General features: G+C 42.1%; 1 protein-coding gene and 2 pseudogenes across 11 annotated transcripts in view; 1 reads left to right on the plus strand and 2 right to left on the minus strand.

The window, feature by feature from the left end:
• On the minus strand, positions 768–2,223 carry GCATP1 (glycine C-acetyltransferase pseudogene 1; annotated as a pseudogene).
• WDR89 (WD repeat domain 89) overlaps positions 3,955–17,471 on the minus strand; it is a 44,833-nt gene continuing 31,316 nt past the window's right edge. For 6 of the 11 annotated variants that reach the window (NM_080666.4, NM_001382423.1, NM_001382425.1 and 3 more), the window contains one exon: positions 3,955–6,889. In NM_080666.4, the coding sequence (NP_542397.1) occupies positions 5,695–6,858 (1,164 nt within the window). In that variant the 5' untranslated portion in view covers positions 6,859–6,889 and the 3' untranslated portion in view covers positions 3,955–5,694. Of the gene's footprint in view, positions 6,890–9,093; positions 9,224–10,831; positions 11,103–17,471 lie in introns of those variants that run through there. The other 5 variants (NM_001382427.1, NM_001382429.1, NM_001382428.1 and 2 more) reach the window with 4 other exon arrangements.
• Positions 8,387–8,850, plus strand: HSPE1P2 (heat shock protein family E (Hsp10) member 1 pseudogene 2; annotated as a pseudogene).

Here is a 17,471-nt window from a genome sequence, read left to right on the forward strand (position 1 = left end):
GTAGATATCATTTGCAAAGGAGAGGTTTTCTCTTCTCTTCCAATCCTTACATGCTGTAATCGTTTATCTTTCCTTATAGTATTAATTAGGATCCATACTACTATAAGCCTCCCCAGTGAGTCGTGGTCTCAAAAGGAAGGCATTTAATCTAACATTTCTCCACTAAATATAATGTTTACTGTAGGTTTTGGTGTTTGTTTTGAGACACAGTCTCACTCTGTCACCCAGGCTGGAGTGCAGTGGTGAGATCATGGCTCACTGTAGCCTCCCACCTGAGCCTCCCAAGTAACTGGGACTACAGGAACATGCCACCACACCTGGCTAACTTTTTGTATATCTATTTTTAATTTTTGTAGTGATGGGATTTTGCCACGTTGCCTAGGCTGGTCTCAAATTCCTGGGCTGAAGCACTCTGCCTGCCTCGGCCTTCTAAAGGGCTGGGATTACAGGTGTGAGCCAGCACACCCGGTCCCTACTGTAGGTTTTTATTATATAAACTTTCACCAAGTTTAAGTACTGTATTGCTAACTTAGCCAGGCATGGTGGTGCACACCTGTAGTCCCAGCTACTTGGGAGATGAGGCAGGAGAATCGCTTGAACCCGGGAGGCAGAGGTTGCAGTGAGCTGAGATCGCACCACTGCACTGCAGCCTGGGTGACAGAGTGAGACTCTGTCTCAAAAAAAAAAAAATTCATTCATTTTTATGGCTGAATAATATTCCACTGAATGGATATACCATGTTGTTTGTTTTGTTCTGTTTTGTTTTTTCACAGCCAATTTTCATACTGTTGTTTCACATTCTCACAGCCCTCAGCACAGGCCACGTCCCAGCCCAGCTCTGGGACTCTGGTTCAGGGCTCAGAGCCTCTGGTCTGGGCTGATCGAAAACCTCCTTTGACCTTATGGCAGTAGGTGGACCTTGGCTCTGCTTGTCCCTACTCAGAGCTCAGGGCAGTGCCCTGTACAGCCGCCCCACTTCCACGAAGGCCTCCACGTGGTAGTCAATGTCTTCCTCATTGTGCAATGCTGAGATCTGTATCCGGATCTGGGCCTTGCCCTTGGAGACCACAGGGTAGCTGAACCCAATAACAAAGATGCCTCTCTTCAGCATGTCATCCGCCATGCAAGGTCAGCTGGGCATCACCCAGCATCACAGGACGGATGGGGTGACTGGCTCCTGAGACAGTGAATCCAGCAGCTTCCATCTTACTACAGAACCACTGGGTCCTGGCAGCCATAGACTGGACGATGGTGTTGCTCTCCATGAGCAGATCTAGGGCCTTAGAGGTGCAGCCAACAACAGCAGGTGGCAGACTGTTGGAGAAGAGATAGGGCTGGGCAGCAGCAGTGACACCAGGGGCCCAGGCCCTGTCGTGTAGCCCCCTGATGCACCACCCAGGGCCTTCCCCAGGGTGGAGTTGATGATGGTGACCTGGCCCATCACACCCAGCAGCTCATCTGTGCCCTGTCCTGTGAGTCCCAGGAAACCAGTGGCATGGCATTCATCCACAAAGACCAGGGCGCCATATCTAGAGGCGAGGCGGCAGATCTTCTGCAGGGGCACGATGTCGCCATCCATGGAAAAGGCCCCATCGGTGGCCACCAGGAACAGCCGATGCTTCTGGGCCTCCTGAAGCTTGGTTTCTAGGTAGGCCACGTCCAGGTGGCAATAGTGGTACTTGTGGGCCTTGCACAGGCAGATGCCGTGGATGATGGAGGCACAGTTCAGCTCGTCCGACAGGACTGCGTCCTCGGGTCTCAGCAGGACCTCAAAGAGGCCGGCGTTGGCGTCACAACAGCTGGGATAGAGGATGGCATCCTCCCGCTGGTGGAAGCGGGCTATTTTTGCTTCTAGATTCTTGTGGATGCTTTGGGTTCCACGGATGAAGCGGACCGAGCTAAGGCCAGCTCCAAAGAGCCTGCAGACCTGCCTGAATCACCTCAGGGTGGCTGCTCAGGCCCAGGTAGTTGTTGGCACGTTAAGTTGAGGATTCCTCCGGAGACGCCGTCCACGTGGATGTGCGGCCCCTGACGGGACGTGATGACCCGCTCACTCTTCCAGGTGCCAGCTCCGCGGATCCCTTCCAGCTCCCCCTCCAGAATGCCGCGCAGCTGGGCCAGTACTGACTGCGCGCTGCGGCCGCACGGCACCCCGGAAAGCGCGGCGCGCCAGGCGTTTCCAGCCCACATTGCTCCTACCTCGCCAGAGCGCACCTTCCTGCCCGAAAGCCGTGCGCACCGCCCACATTGTTTATCTACTGATGAACGCTTGGATTCTTTCCACCTTTTGGCTAGTATGAATGTTACTATGAACACTCATGTACAAGTTCCTGTGTGGACATATGTTCTCAATTCTTCTGGGCATACACCTAGGAGTGGAATTGCCAGGTCAAATGGCAACTGTACAACTCCCTGAGGAACTTCTGGACTGTTTTCCAAAGCAGCTCCACCATTTTACATTCCCACCAGCAGTGTATAAAGGTTCTGATTTCTCCAGATCTTCAGAAGATACAATTTTTATTAATATTATAGCCATCCTAATGGGTGTAAAGTGTTCTGGTTTGCATTTCTCTGCTAATGATATTGAGTATCTTTGCATGTGCATACTGGCCATTTGTATATCTTCTTTGGAGAAATGTCTATCCAGATCCTTTGATCAATTTAAAAATTGGGTTGTCTTTTCAATATCGAGTTGTAAGATTTCTCCGTATGTTCTGGACACAAGTTCCTTATCTATGATTTGCCAACATTTTCTCTCATTCTATGCGTTAGTATTCTATGGGTTGGTGCAATTACTTTTGCACCAACCTTTTTAAGGGTCTCTTTTAATTGGTGGGTTAAATCCACTTATACTATTTACAATGTTCTCCACATGGTCAAATGCATTGGGTAACCTATACGTTCAATTTTCTCCCTGGACATCTCCCTCCTGATATCCTCTGTCCTGCTCCAGTCTGGACTGAATATAGTGCTGCAAAGCTGTTATCTTGCCACAATGCTAGGTTGGTTCCCTGATTTTTGCTATCTCTGCTCTTCCTTGATTTACTTCCTTAATTTCTGTGGAGTGTATCCTTCAGCAGCCTTTGAAAAAAACGGCATGAAGAGTGAAGTTTGAGATTTTGTATGCCTGCAATGTTTTGTTTTGAGATAGAGTCTCACTCTTGTTGTCTAGGCTGGAGTGCAATGGTGCACAATTTTGGCTCACTGCAACCTCTGCCTCCCAGGCTCAAGCAATTCTCCTGCCTCAGCCTCCCAAGTAGCTGAGATTACAGGCGTGTGCCACCATGCCTAGCTCATTTTTGTATTTTTGGTAGAGACAGGGTTTCACCATGTTGGCCAGGCTGGTCTTGAACTCCTGACCTCAGGTAATCCGCCTGCCTCGGCCTCCCAAAGTGCTGGGATTACAGGCGTGAGCCACCACACCCAGCCAACCTGCAATGTTTTTAACTTCACACGTGAAGACAGCCTGACTGGTCATAGAATTACTATTTCCTGGGTTTAGTCAATGAGAGTTTGGTTACAAATGGATACTTTGTTAGCTGTATCAATTTGGTTCCTGAGGTTCAGAGAACAACTAGGAAATATTCATTTGACAAGGGATATCTCAAAAAATTTATCATCTATTTGCTGCATGAGTTTGGAGAGCTGTAAATTCAAATAGGTAGGAATCTGTCCTCAGAACTCTGAAGGCATTGATCCACCATCTTTTGTCATCCAGATTTGCTAATGAGTCTAACACAACTGTAAATCTGTTCCTAAGTGATTTTTTTTTTCCGGACACTTGCAGGATTTTCTATTTACTCTGAAACTTCACAGTGCTATGCCTTGATGTGGATCTTTTTCATTCATTACACTTGACACTCTGCTGTGCCTTTCAATCTAAAGATTGAAGTTCTGGAATAGCCACTATATTAGTCCATTTTCACACTCTATAAATAACTGCCCAAGACTGGGTAATTTATAAAGGAAAGTGTTTAATTGACTGAAGAGTTCAGCATGGCCAGGGAGGCCTCAAGAAACTTACAATCATGGGGGAACGCAAAGGGGAAGCAAAGCACCTTCTTCACAAGGCTTCAGGAGAAAGAGTGAGGAGTTAAAGGGGCAGAGCCCTTTATAAAACCATCAGATCTTGTGAGAACTCACCCACTATCAGGAGAACATCGTAGGGGAAACCACCCCCATGATCCAATCACCTCCCACCAGGTCTCTCCCTAGACACATGGGGATTATGGGGATTACAATTCGAGATGAAATTTGGGTGAGGACACAGACAAACCATACCAGCCATTTATGTTATTTCTAATAACCCACTGCCCCCATTTCTTTTTTAACTTTTTTCACTTTCTAAAACTGTTAGTCTGGTTTTGACCCCTGTATTTATCTTCTGTGGCTTTCATCTTTTCTCTTTGTCTCTTTCAGTTCTACTTTCAGGAATATTTTCTCACCTACATCTTCCAACACTATTAATTACTTTTGAATTTTAAATATTTTTAATTTTAAAAAGCCCTATTGTTTTAATAGTTTCACTTCCAATTGTTTTATGAATGCGATTTCTCCAGATATCTTTCAAACTAATTTTTTTATTCACTAGATAGCACTGTCTTATATTTTAAAGATTCTGAAAAACACAATTTTTAACGCTTATGTAGTCCGCCATCAAAACATCAATGTACTGAAGATTTTAAGCAGCATGAGGCACCATCACGTTTTTGTTTCTTCCCCCTCATTTCCCCGCCCCTACCAGATCTGTTTTTGATGTTTAGCCTAGAAGTAGCAAGAAGGATGAACTGAAGCAGATTAGAGATCGAGCTGGTAATCCAGATGAGAAATAATGAAAGTCTTCTCTAGGGTAATAGTGGTGAGGTAAAGGCAAAAGGATAGCTGACAGACGTTAGGAGGTGAAATGGCACAGGACTTGGTGAAAAACTGGTTAGGAGAAGAGGAAAGAGAAAAGCCCAGGTTATCCTCAGATTTATGGTTTGGACAACAGGAAGAATAGCAATTTCTCCAAGTCGAGTCCTATTATAAATATTTTCATTTTTGTATTTCACTTTGAGTCTCAATTTACCAAGATAACTTCCTTTCAATCAGCAAAACACCTGTTTACTACTTACTAACAATATTAAAGATGCAAATATTTACGAAACATATTTTTCTCACTTTACATAGATGCCTATCATTTCATTTGTAAAAAAGGTTAATTCTATTTACTCATTAAAATACTTACATTTAAATACTCCAGCATAATACATTAGGTGTATTAAACATATAGATGCTCCTCAGATGAAGAATATAGTCTAATCTGGTTTTATACACAATAAAGACAATTTAAAATGTAAAAAACTGGGCTTAAAAAATGCAGCCAACCACCTGTTTTATTAAGTTTTACCAAGTATTTCCTTCTAAAAAGTCCTTATCGGAGCTATTTCTTTAAAGCCAACATTTACTACATTAACAGATGGGTTCTTTAAATAAGAAATTTTACTTTCAACTCACTGATTTTATACTTAGAGGCTTTAAAATTTTTTAGAATATGTGAAGACCGGAATTAAACCATTCTCACCATATTTTTCCAGGACTGTTTGCTAACTGGCTTGTTTTTACATAAAGCTTTAAACATGTCTACCATGGGTAGTAAACAAGAAGGACTATTTGAAACTATAAAACCTACCAAACAAAGTGCCAAATGCATTATCACTGCTTTTTCCTTCTTTTATAAGAATCATTACTATGAACTCGTACTCGTTGGTGCACAGAGGATGCTATTTTCATACTCTCTTTCTTTGTAAAGGTCTTCTCTATAGCTCCAGGTTTCCAAAGTAACAACTGTGCATCTTCTCCTCCAGTCAACAAAGAATCATCTTGCACATTCCAACAGAAAGAACGGACTGTAGCAGCATGCCCTCCCTGAAGGCTAGTCACATGGGTCAGTCCTGACATGCTGCAGTTCATCAAATGAATCCTTCCTTTGTTTGTTCCTCCAATAACATGCAATGTGTCTGTCTTTTCATGATATAGGCCACCAATCAAATAGTCCAAAGCATCTTCTTTCATGTTAACTACTTCTCTGACATCCTGGATGTTCAAACGTGTAACTGGTTCATCAGTGTCCAGATGATTAAGATCCCACCAATAAAATCCTTCATCATGTGTCATGCAGTAAATCTGTTTATAACCTTTCCCAGACCAACCAATACAGCTTACTGATGAAATTGAGTTACAGGTTGTAACCAGTGCATCCTCCTCATTATCAATATTAATATCAAATACATTTACCAGGCCATCAGATGAACCTGAGACTACCATGTTGGGATTGCTGGGATGGAAACGTACTTGAGTGACATCATCACTATGTGTCTCTGAATATGCACCAAGTGAGTCTTTAGTTGTAGATAAATTCTGAGAATTCATCCTTGCATCCCAAAACACCAACAATGCATCATCATCAACTTTTTCTGTACCAGCACAAATAATATGATCATTACAATTAATATCAAAACTGATAAAAATATTGGAAGGGTAACCCTTGAAGAGCTGAACAGGTTTTTCTCTGGCTACTCGAGCATCCCAGCATTTCACAGTGCCATCAGTACATGCTGAATATACACTGTCACAGGAATTTGCAAATCTGACTCCATTAAGAAGTCCAGGATATCCACTAAATTCTCGTAGTACATTTAACCTTTCTTTATCATATATTCTGATTGATCCATTAGAACATAAAACAGCAACCAAGTTTTCCTTTCCTGCTTGGACAGTCTTTGATGTGTCTATACCAAGAAGGTAAGTGGGCTCTTTGGTTCCTAAGGAACATTTAACAATGTGCAGATTAGCAAATTGTTCCTCAATCTTTTCCATGTCAACAGCAGCATCCAAGGGTAGTAAAACTCTGTAAAAAATAATAATAATAAAAATAAAAATTAATGCTTAACAAGGGAGACACATAAAAAAATTTAACTTGAAGTTTCTCTAAAATTGCAATTAAATCAAGAACATTTTCCTCTGAGGGCTGGCATGAATCAATCAATCAACAGAAATGTATTCTAATACTATAATCATTTCCTTCCTATGATGTAACTAAAACTCAGTTGCCTTCTAATTCAATCACTCTTTAATACTGAATTCACTACCAGGAGTGGTGGCTCACACCTGTAATCTCAGCACTTTGGGAGGCTGAGGTAGGAGGACTGCTTGAGGCCAGGCATTAGAGACCAGCCTGAGCAACATGGGGAGACCCCCCCGCCGTCTCTTCAAAAAATAAATTAGCAGGGCATGGTGGCCTATGCCTGTAGTCCTAGCTACTCAGGAGGCTGAGGTAGGAGGACTGCTTGAGACCAGAAGTTGAGACTACAGTGATCCATGATCATGTCACTGTCATACAGCCTGGGGAATAAAGTGAGATCCTGCCTCAAAAAAGAAAAAAAAAATGCTGAATTTACTATATATATTTTATGCTAGTAAGAGAATAAAAAACATGTACATACGCCACCCAGTAGTTCCTTTTAGCTCAAACCCAATTACTGGTTCTACTCAAGTCATCTTCAGGATTGGCAAGGATCTCCACTTTGGAATAATCTTCTCCTGGCCCCAGCTGCCTTACACAACTTTAGAATTTAAACATAGATATGTAGGCAAAAAAAAAAAAAAAAAAAAAAAAAAAAAAAAAAAAAGGTTTCCCAAAAATATTCATGCCTTAATCCCTGGAATCTGTGAATATGTTAGGTTACAAAGGAAAACTGAAGTTGTACATGGAATTAAGGTTGCTTATCAGCCTAATATAAGGCTAACCTTAAAATAGGGAGATTATCCTAGATTATCTGTTATCACCGTGGCCCAATATGGTAACAACTGTCTTCAAAAGTGGAAGAGGGAGGCAGAAGAGTCAGAGGAAGAGGTTCCCATAGAAGAAAGGCAAAGACACAGAGAGATACAATGTTGCTGGTTTTGAAGACAGAGGCTGAGAGTGGCCTCTAGAAACTAAAAAGCAAGAAAAGATTGTCCTCTAAGCCTCCAAATGGAAATGCAGCCCTGTTGACATCTTAATTTTAGCCCAGTGACATCCATTTTGGACTTCAGACCTCCAGAACCGTTAAGATAATAAACTTAATGTTATTTCAAACAACTAAGTTTGCAGTAATTTGTTATAGCAGCAATAGGAAACGAATACAACAGAGGTTCCCAGTATAGAATCCTGGAGAAGTCCTTCTAAGGCAGTAGCAGCTTGTGATAGTAGAACTGGGATTTGAACCTAGGCATTCTGGCTTCAGGCTTCACGGACTGTGCTCTAAACCACCATACTAGATTGCCTCTCCAGGGTGGGCTGTATGTAGGACAAGTTCAAGGCCAGAAAAACATGCATGCCTAGTAACACTATAATAAATTCTTGACACTAGAGCAGAGTACGAGTCTGAGGTGGAGGGAGTCATGGCAGGACAAGCGTTTAAGTTTCTTCCACTCTTTGACCGAGTATTGGTTGAAAGGAGTGCTGTTGAAACTGTAACCAAAGGAGGCATTATGCTTCCAGAAAAATCTCAAGGAAAAGTATTGCAAGCAACAGTAGTCGCTGTTGGATCGGGTTCTAAAGGAAAGGGTGGAGAGATTCAACCAGTTCGTGTGAAAGTTGGAGATAAAGTTCTTCTCCCATAACATGGAGGCACCAAAGTAGTTCTAGATGACAAGGATTATTTCCTATTTAGAGATGGTGACGTTCTTGGAAAGTACGTAAACTGAAATAAGTCACTATTGAAATGGCATCAACATGAAGCTGCCCATTCCACCGAAGTTCTGAAATCTTTCATCATGTAAATAATTTCCATATTTCTCTTTTATAATAAACTAAATAACTAATGAAAAAAATAAAATAAATTCTTCTATTGTGCTTTCTCATCAGTGAATATTCTTTCTAGCCTGTCTAACAAATTCATTTTCATTCTTAAGATGAAATGTTTTTTCTGTTGCTTTAGTGATATCTTCTTAAGCATCTGTCTTTTCATCTTTAAAAGGGGAAATGAGTACTAACTCAAGAACTGTTAGGAGGATTAACTAATGCATGCCATGTGTTCTGCACAATGTATGGCATATCATAGTACCTACACAATAGATGTAATAGGTCAGGCATGGTGGCTCATGCCTGTAATCCCAACACTTCTGGAGGCCGAGGCAGCGATCACTGAGGTCAGGAGTTCGAGACCAGTCTGGTCAACATGGTAAAACCCCGTCTCTACTAAAAATACAAAAATTAGTTTGGTGTTGTGGTGCACACCTGTAATCCAGCTACTCGGGAGGCTGAGGCAGGAGAACTGCTTGAGGTAGAGGTTGCAATGAGCCAAGGTCTTGCCACTGCACTCCAGCCTGAACAACAGAGTGAGATTCCTACTCAAAAAAAAAAAAAAAAAAAAAAAAAGATGGCTGGACATGGTAGCTCACGCCTGTAATCCCAGCACTTTGGGAGGCCAAGGCGGGCAGATCACCTGAGGTCGGGAGATTGAGACCAGTCTGACCGACATGGAAAAACCCCGTCTCTATTAAAAATACAAAATTAGCCAGGCGTGGTGGCACATGCCTGTAATCCCAGCTACTCGGGAGGCTGAGGCAGGAGAATCGCTTGAACCCAGGAGGAGGAGGTTGCGGTGAGCCGAGATCGCGCCGTTGCACTCCATCCTGGGCAACAAGAGTGAAACTCCATCTCAAAAAAAAAAAAAAAGATGTAATATAAAAATTACCAGTATCACCATATAAGGGAGAATTTGGATCTATCAGAGAGCTCCAAATAGCACAATTACATCAAACAGCAAAAAATATTAGTAAGTTGGATTTGGGTTTTTTAAAATTTATTTTATTTTTTTGTATTTTTAGTGGAGATGGGGTTTCACCGTGTTAGCCAGGATGGTCTCGACCTCCTGACCTCGTGATCCGCCTGCCTCGGCCTCCCAAAGTGCTGGGATTACAGGCGTGAGCCACCACGCCCAGCCTGGATTTGGGTTTAAAATAGAAATAAGCATTCCCTCCAACTTTTAATTTTCAACATTTATTTTTACTTATTTTTCCTTTGGAGATGGCATCACAGCTCATTAATTTTCAACATTTATAAGTGCGCACACACAAAAAGTTCTAATGCACACACACAGTTCACCTTCTAGGTTCACTGTTAACTTCTTGCCACATTTGCTTTCTCTCTCTACACACACACACACACACACACCCCACTGCTTTTTAAAAATGAACCTTTTGATGAGAGTTAGCTGCAGACAAAGTATCACTCCATTCCTAAATACTTCACTATAACAGCATCTCTCCAACCTTCTGTTTTTCATGTCATGGAATTTTTTGAATATCCTATTCTTCAACAACTTTCATCCAAAGAGTTCAGGATCTATTAATTGTCCTTGCCTAAATCAATGATTATGCTAGAATCTGTAAAACAGTCCTTTTCTATCATTCTTTCTACCTTAGCAGGCATTCTTCTATAAACAAGAGCTTTTTTCCTTTCTCTGCTTCTTTGACTAGGAAATCACAATTCTTAAAAACTGTGTATCATAATCTATCGCTTTGTTGCTTTTTGATGCTCAAAGTGTCTGGACTTGGCCATTAAGACCCTTTAAGCCAGCTTCTGAAGCCTTCTGATAGGACCCCATCAGTCTGTAAGCCCCACATGAGAAACTCCGTGGAAGCATTAGGTAGCTCTAAAAATGGTGTTCTTCCTTCAACTTAAGTATTCAGACATGAAATGACCATTTTCCAGTAACGCTGGGGTAGTCACCTCCACAGCTGCTGAGGTAGCTAGCACAGTACAACTGTTCTGTGGTTTTCCCGCCAGACAAAATAGCCTTACCTTGAACACGTCAGGCTTGCTCCTGCCTCAGGACTGCAGCAACAGCTGTTTGCCTGGAGTATTCTTTCCCTGCATGTCTGCATGAGTGACTCCTTCCTGTTATTCAGGTCTCAGCATATGTCACCTGCCCAGAGAGAGTCTCTCCACTGCCAATCAACGTGAAAAAGCCCCTGTCATTTCCTATCACATCCTTACCCTGTTTCACTAATTTAAAAATTAAAAATGATGGCCAGGTGCAGTGGCTCATTCTTGTAATCCCAGCATGTTGAGAAGCCAGGGCAGGCAGATTGCTTGAGCCCAGGGGTTCGAGACCAGCCTGGGCAACAAGGCTAAACCCCACCTCTACAAAAAAATGCAAAAATGAGGCAGGTGTGGTAGTGCACGCCTGTAGTCCCAGCTACTTGGGAGGACTGCTTGAGCTCGGGAGGTGGAGGTTGCAATGAGCCAAGATCATGCCACTGCACTCCAGCCAGGACAACAGGGCAAGACCCTGTCTCAAAAAAAAACTGACACAAAATTTAAAATGTTTAATTATGAAGTATTTCAAATGTACAAAGGTGTAGAAAAAAATATAAGACACCCAAACATGTACCACCTATACTTAACAAATATTAACATTTTTTACTGTATCTGCCTCAGTTTAACAAAATGGAACATTACAGACACAAGTAAAACTTCACTCCAATAATTAAGAATTTAGAATAATGGCACCATATTTATATGTATCTTTCTTGCAATTTGCTCTTTTCACTCAATATAATTTTTAAAAAGTCCTGTTTTAGTGGTGAACTTATTACCTAACTCTTTCTTGCTTATTTGTTAATAAGTGGTTGCTGAATACATTAATGCCTAACTGATTCAACTTTCACACATTAAAATCACCACGTAAGGACGCTGCGGTCAATGACAGACCACATTTATGATAGTTAAGATTATAATGGAGGCCAGGTGTGGTAACCCATGTGTGTGATCCCAGCACTTTGGGAGGCCAAGCCGGGCAGCCAGGCAGATCACTTTAGCCTAGGAGTTTGAAACCAGCCTGAGCAACATAAAGAAACCCCTTCTCTACACAAAAAATACAAAAATTAGCCAGGCATGGTGGTGCACGCCTATAGTCCCATCTACTGGGGAGGCTGAGGCAGGGGAATGCTTGAGCCCGGGAGGCTGAGGCTGCAGGGAGCTGTGATTGCACCACTGCACTTCAGCCTCGGCGACAGAGCAAGACACGTGCTGTCTGTCTCTCTCTCTCTCTATATATATATATATACACACACACACACATATATACATACACATACACACACACACACACACACACACACACACACGAGCTGGGAAAGTTCCATCATCTAATTGTGGTCCCTGCAAATTCATGGCACAATGCATTACTCATGTGTCTGTGGTGATGCGTGTATAAACAAACCTATTGCACTGCCAGTCATATAAAAGTATAGTGCATACAATTATGTACAGTACATAATACTTCATAAAGACAATAAAGGACTATGTTACGGGTTTATGTTACTCGTTTAAAAGTCCAATACTATACTTTTTTTTTTTTTGAGACGGAGTTTCGCTTTGTCACCCAGGCTGTAATGCAGTGGCACCATCTCAGCTCACTGCGACCTCTGCCTCCCGGGTTCAAGAAATTCTCCTGCCTCAGCCCCCGAAGCAGCTGGGATTACAGGCATATGCCACAATGCCCAGCTAATTTTTGTGTTTTTAGTAGAGACAGGGTTTCACCACGTTGGCCAGGCTGATCTCGAACTCCTGACCTCAGGTGATCCACACACCTCGGTCTCCCAAAGTGCTGGGATTACAGGCATGAGCCACCATGCCCGGCAAGACTATACTTTTAATCGTTATTTTAGAGTGGACTTTCTCTACTTATTGAAAGGAAGTTAACTGTGAACAGCCTCAGGCAAGTCCTTCAAAGCGTATTCCAGAATGCACTGTTCTCATAGAAGATGACAACTCCATGTGTTATTGCTCCTAAAAACCTTCCAGTGGGATAAGACATGGAGTAGAAGACCACAAAATTGATGATCCTGACCGTGTGTGGGCCTAGGCTAATGTGTGTGTCTTTTTTCTTCTTTTTTTTTTTGGAGGCAGGGTCTTGTTCCATCACTCAGCAAAGTAGCGCCATCATGGCTCACTGCAGCCTCAACCTCCCAGGCTCAGGCCACCACATCCAGCTAATTTTTGTATTTTTGGTAGAGACAGGGTCTCACTATTTTGACCAAGCTGGTCTCAAACTTCTGGGCTCAAGCAATCTTCTTGCCTCAGCCTCCCAAAGTGGTGAGATTACAGGCATGAGCCACTGTCCCCAGCCTGTGTCTCAATTTTTAACAAAAGAGTTTTAGAAGTAAAATTAGAAAATAATAAAATAAAAATTAAAGTAGAAATAGGCTTATGGAATAAGGATATATGAAGAAAATATTTTTGTACAGCTGTACAATGTGTTTGTGTTTTAAGCTAAGTATTATTACAAAAGAGGAAAAAAGTATCACGCCAAGTGCTCTCTACAGGTATACCATTTGTTATCATTTATACCATAATTTTATTATACCTTTTTATGTTTAGATCTACAAGTATTTACCATTGTGTTACAACTGCTTAAAGTATTCAGTAGAGTAAAATGCTGTACAGTGTAGTGTAGGTCATACCGTACAGCTCAAGTATGTAGTAGGCTATACTATCTAGGTTGGGTAAGTACAGTATACTCCATGATGTTCCCAGGATGAAACTGCCTAATGACCCATTTCTCATTGTTAGGCAATGAATGACTGTAATCATAACTGGAGTTCACCAAATGCTAGGCTATGTGCTCGAAACTTCTATCCAGTTTTTAAATCCTCATCATTTAACCCTATGAGGCAGATATTATTATCACTATTTTACAAAGGAAATTGAAGCTCAGAGAGACTAATTTGCCCTTGCTCTCATAGCTACTAAGTGAACATATTGGAGGAGTCTGGTTTGAAATTCAAGTTGTAACTTCAAAACCTGTGAATCTGTGTTCATTCCAATGTTAAGCTATTGATCTTCTATGTAAGTATTAAAGTACTGCTGTCAACTTTAATCCAGGGATATGCCCATGAGGCTTTAGAGGAGGAATTACATGTAAATTCTATGTATCAGAAGAGAAAGGAAGCAGTGTATGATTGTAAAAACATGTAATAACCCAGAAAAGAGTTACAATAAGCAATCATCCTTTACTTTTAATTTTTCATGTGATCTACTTTTCTCTTTAAAACTTTTTTTTGAGACGGAGTCTTGCTCTGTTGCCCAGGCTGGACTGCAGTGACACCATCTCGGTTCACTGCAAGCTCTGCCTCCCGGGTTCACGCCATTCTCCTGCCTCAGCCTCCCAAGTAGCTGGGACTACAGGTGCCCACCACCATGCCCGGCTAATTGTTTTGTATTTTTAGTAGAGACGGGGTTTCACCATATTAGCCAGGATGGTCTCCATCTCCTGACCTCGTGATCTGTCCGCCTCCGCCTCTCAAAGTGCTGGGATTACAGGCATGATAAAACTTTTTATTATGGAATGTGCATGGAGTAGAGAACAGTAACAGAAATCCCCACATGCGCATTATCCAGCACAATTATATTCCCCAAAAGTTATCAGGGATGGAGAAGTCAGTTATACATATTTTACTGAAGGGCAATTAAGAAACCCCAGGCCAGGCATGGTGGCTCACATCTGTAATCCCAGCACTTTGGGAGGCCGAGGCAGGCAGATCACCTGAGGTCAGGAGTTCGAGACCAGCCTGACCAACATGGAGAAAACCCATCTCTACTAAAAATACAAAATTAGCCAGGTGTGGTGGCACATGCCAGTAATCCCAGCTACTTGGGAGGCTGAGGCAGGAGAATCGCTTGAACCCAGGAGGCGGAGTTTGCAGTGAGCCAAGATGGCGCCATTACACTCCAGCCTGGGCAACAAGAGCGAAAGTCTGACTCAAAAAAAAAAAAAAAAGAAAAGAAAAAGGAAAGAAACCCCAGGCCGGGCGCAGCAGTGGCTCATGCCTGTAATCCCAACACTTTGGGAGGCCAAGGCGGGCAGATCACGAGGTCAGGAGTTTGAGACCAGCCTGGCCAACATGGTGAAACCCCATCTCTACTAAGAATACAAAAATAAGCTGGGTGTGGTGGTGCATGCCTGTAATCCCAGCTACTCGGGAGGCTGAGGCAGAAGAATCACTTGAACCTGGGAGGCGGAGGTTGCAGTGAGCTGAGATTGTACCGTTGAACTCCAGCCTGAGCAATAGAGTGAGACTCTGCCTCAAAAACAAAACAAAACAAACAAACAAACAAAAAACAACTTAATATAGAATTGCCTCTGGCTGGGCATGGTGACTTACACCTGTAATCCCAGTACTTTGGGAGACTGAGGCAGGAGGATCACTTGCAGCCAGGAGTTCAAGACAAGCCTGGGCAACAGAGTAAGTCTCTTTCTCAAAAAAAATAAATAAATCAATAAAAAATAAAAAAATCTGTCTAGTAAGTTTCTGTATGTTTTAATAATGTATTTATATTTTTGAATATACAACATAGTCAATGGTCCAAAATTAAAAAGGTCCCCAAACTATCTTAGAACATCTCTGTCCTCAAGTCCCTTTCCTGTCCCAGGAGGCAATGTTACTAGTTTCTTATAAATATTAATATTTTCAGAGATTGTCAATTTGGAGTACAGTGTAAATACTGCAGTGAAGTATCTCAACAAAAACCAGCCAGTGTGGTGCATGCACACACACACACACACACACACACACACACAAATAGGTTTAAGAAGCAAAACCCCTAGTGCTGGCAATTTGGATGAAGACCATGCCTTCTGCCTTTAAGAAGTTGAGAAACAGAAAAGTAAACAATTACAATATAGGAAGACAGGTGGCTGGGTGCGGTGCCTCGGTGGCTCACGCCTATAATCTCAGTGCTTTGGGAGGCTGAGGTGGGAGATCACGAGGTTGGGAGATCTAGGCCATCCTGGCCAACATGGTGAAACCCCATCTCTACTAAAATACAAAAAATTGGCTGGGTGTGGTGGTGCACTTGTAGTCCCAGCTACTCAGGAGGCTGAGGCAGGGGAATGAGGCAAGGGAATCGCTTGAAGCCGGGAGGCAGAGGCTGCAGTGAGCCGAGATGGCGCCACTGCACTCCAGCCTGGCAACAGAGCAAAACTCCATCTCAAAAAAAAAAACCCAAAAAAACAAAAACGAAGACTGGTACTAGGACAGAGGTGATAGAAACACAAAGCAGAAGTAAGCAGAAGGTACAATGCTTGGCATAAAGAAAATATGCAACAAATATTAATTTCCTTCCTAATTTTCATTTCATTTGATTTAGTCATTTAAATTCATTTCACATTTTAAAAGCTACGATTCTTACAGCTGTTCAGAAACTTAACACAGTTTAGTTACTTTTATATTAACTATTTAAAAAAACAACATGCAACCTTCATGAACACAATATCAAATAAACAACTCTCAAATCTGAATAAACTACAGCCACACCAAATTGAGCCGGTGCTTTCTTAGATTTTATTTTTCATTTTATAATGAAAAATACACCTCTAAAGAGCATATGGCCGGGCGTGGTAGTTCACGCCTGTAATCCCAGCACTTCGGGAAGCCGAGGCGGGCGGATCACCTGAGCCTCAGGAGTTGGAGACCAGCCTGGCCAACATGGTGAAATCCTCTCTCTACCAAAAATACAAAAATTAGCCAAGGGTGGTGGCGCCCACCTATAATCCCAGCTACATGGGAGGCTGAGGCAGGAGAATTGCTTATACCTGGAAGGTGGAGGTTACAGTGAGCCAAGATCGCGCCACTGCACTCCAGGCTGGAGACAGAGAGAAACTGTCTCAACAAAAAAATAAAATAAAATAAAATAAAATAAAACAAAACCAAAAAAGCATATGAACTTCAATATGTTTCAAAAAATGACTGTGTTTCACTGCCCAAGGTTCTCAGTGAACTCTCCCAAGATTCTTATCTTGGATACCAATCAAAATGTTTAGGATTTAAACTATTAAAAACGCCCTTGAGTTCCTTGGAGAAAGAAGAGTTTAAAAGGAAAAACAAAAAGACATAGGAGCCAAGAACTCCATTGGCCAATCTAAAACAATCTTAACAACAAAATAACAATACTCATCTGAGTGCAGTGGCTCACGCCTGTAATCCCAGCTACTTGGGAGGCTGAGGCAGGAGAATCACTTGAACCTGGGAGGTGAAGGCTGCAGTGAGCCAAAGTCGCACCACTGCACTCTGGCCGGGGCGACAGAGTAAGACTCTGTCTTAAAAAAAAAAAAAAAAAAAAAAAAACTCTTGGATTACAATCCAAAGAATAAAATAAATATCCATGAGTCCATACTGATAAAAATGAATCAGTAAATAAATAAATGAGGGAGAAGGAACAAATCTTCCTTACAGAACTCAAGTATAACATATGTAGATATACCCCCTGTAGAAAGTAGAGCTGAATTCTCCTCCCCTTGAATGTAGGCTGGACTTAGTTACCCGCATCCAAAGAATAGAGAAGAATAGAGTACAGAAAAGGTAAAAGATAGTAACCTAATTGTGGAGAAGCTCAGATGACATCACTGTGACCAACTGATCAAGGGTAACATCATCAG

The sequence above is a fragment of the Homo sapiens genome, chromosome 14 (genome assembly GCF_000001405.40).
Source record: "Homo sapiens chromosome 14, GRCh38.p14 Primary Assembly".
Lineage (NCBI taxonomy): Eukaryota > Metazoa > Chordata > Mammalia > Primates > Hominidae > Homo > Homo sapiens.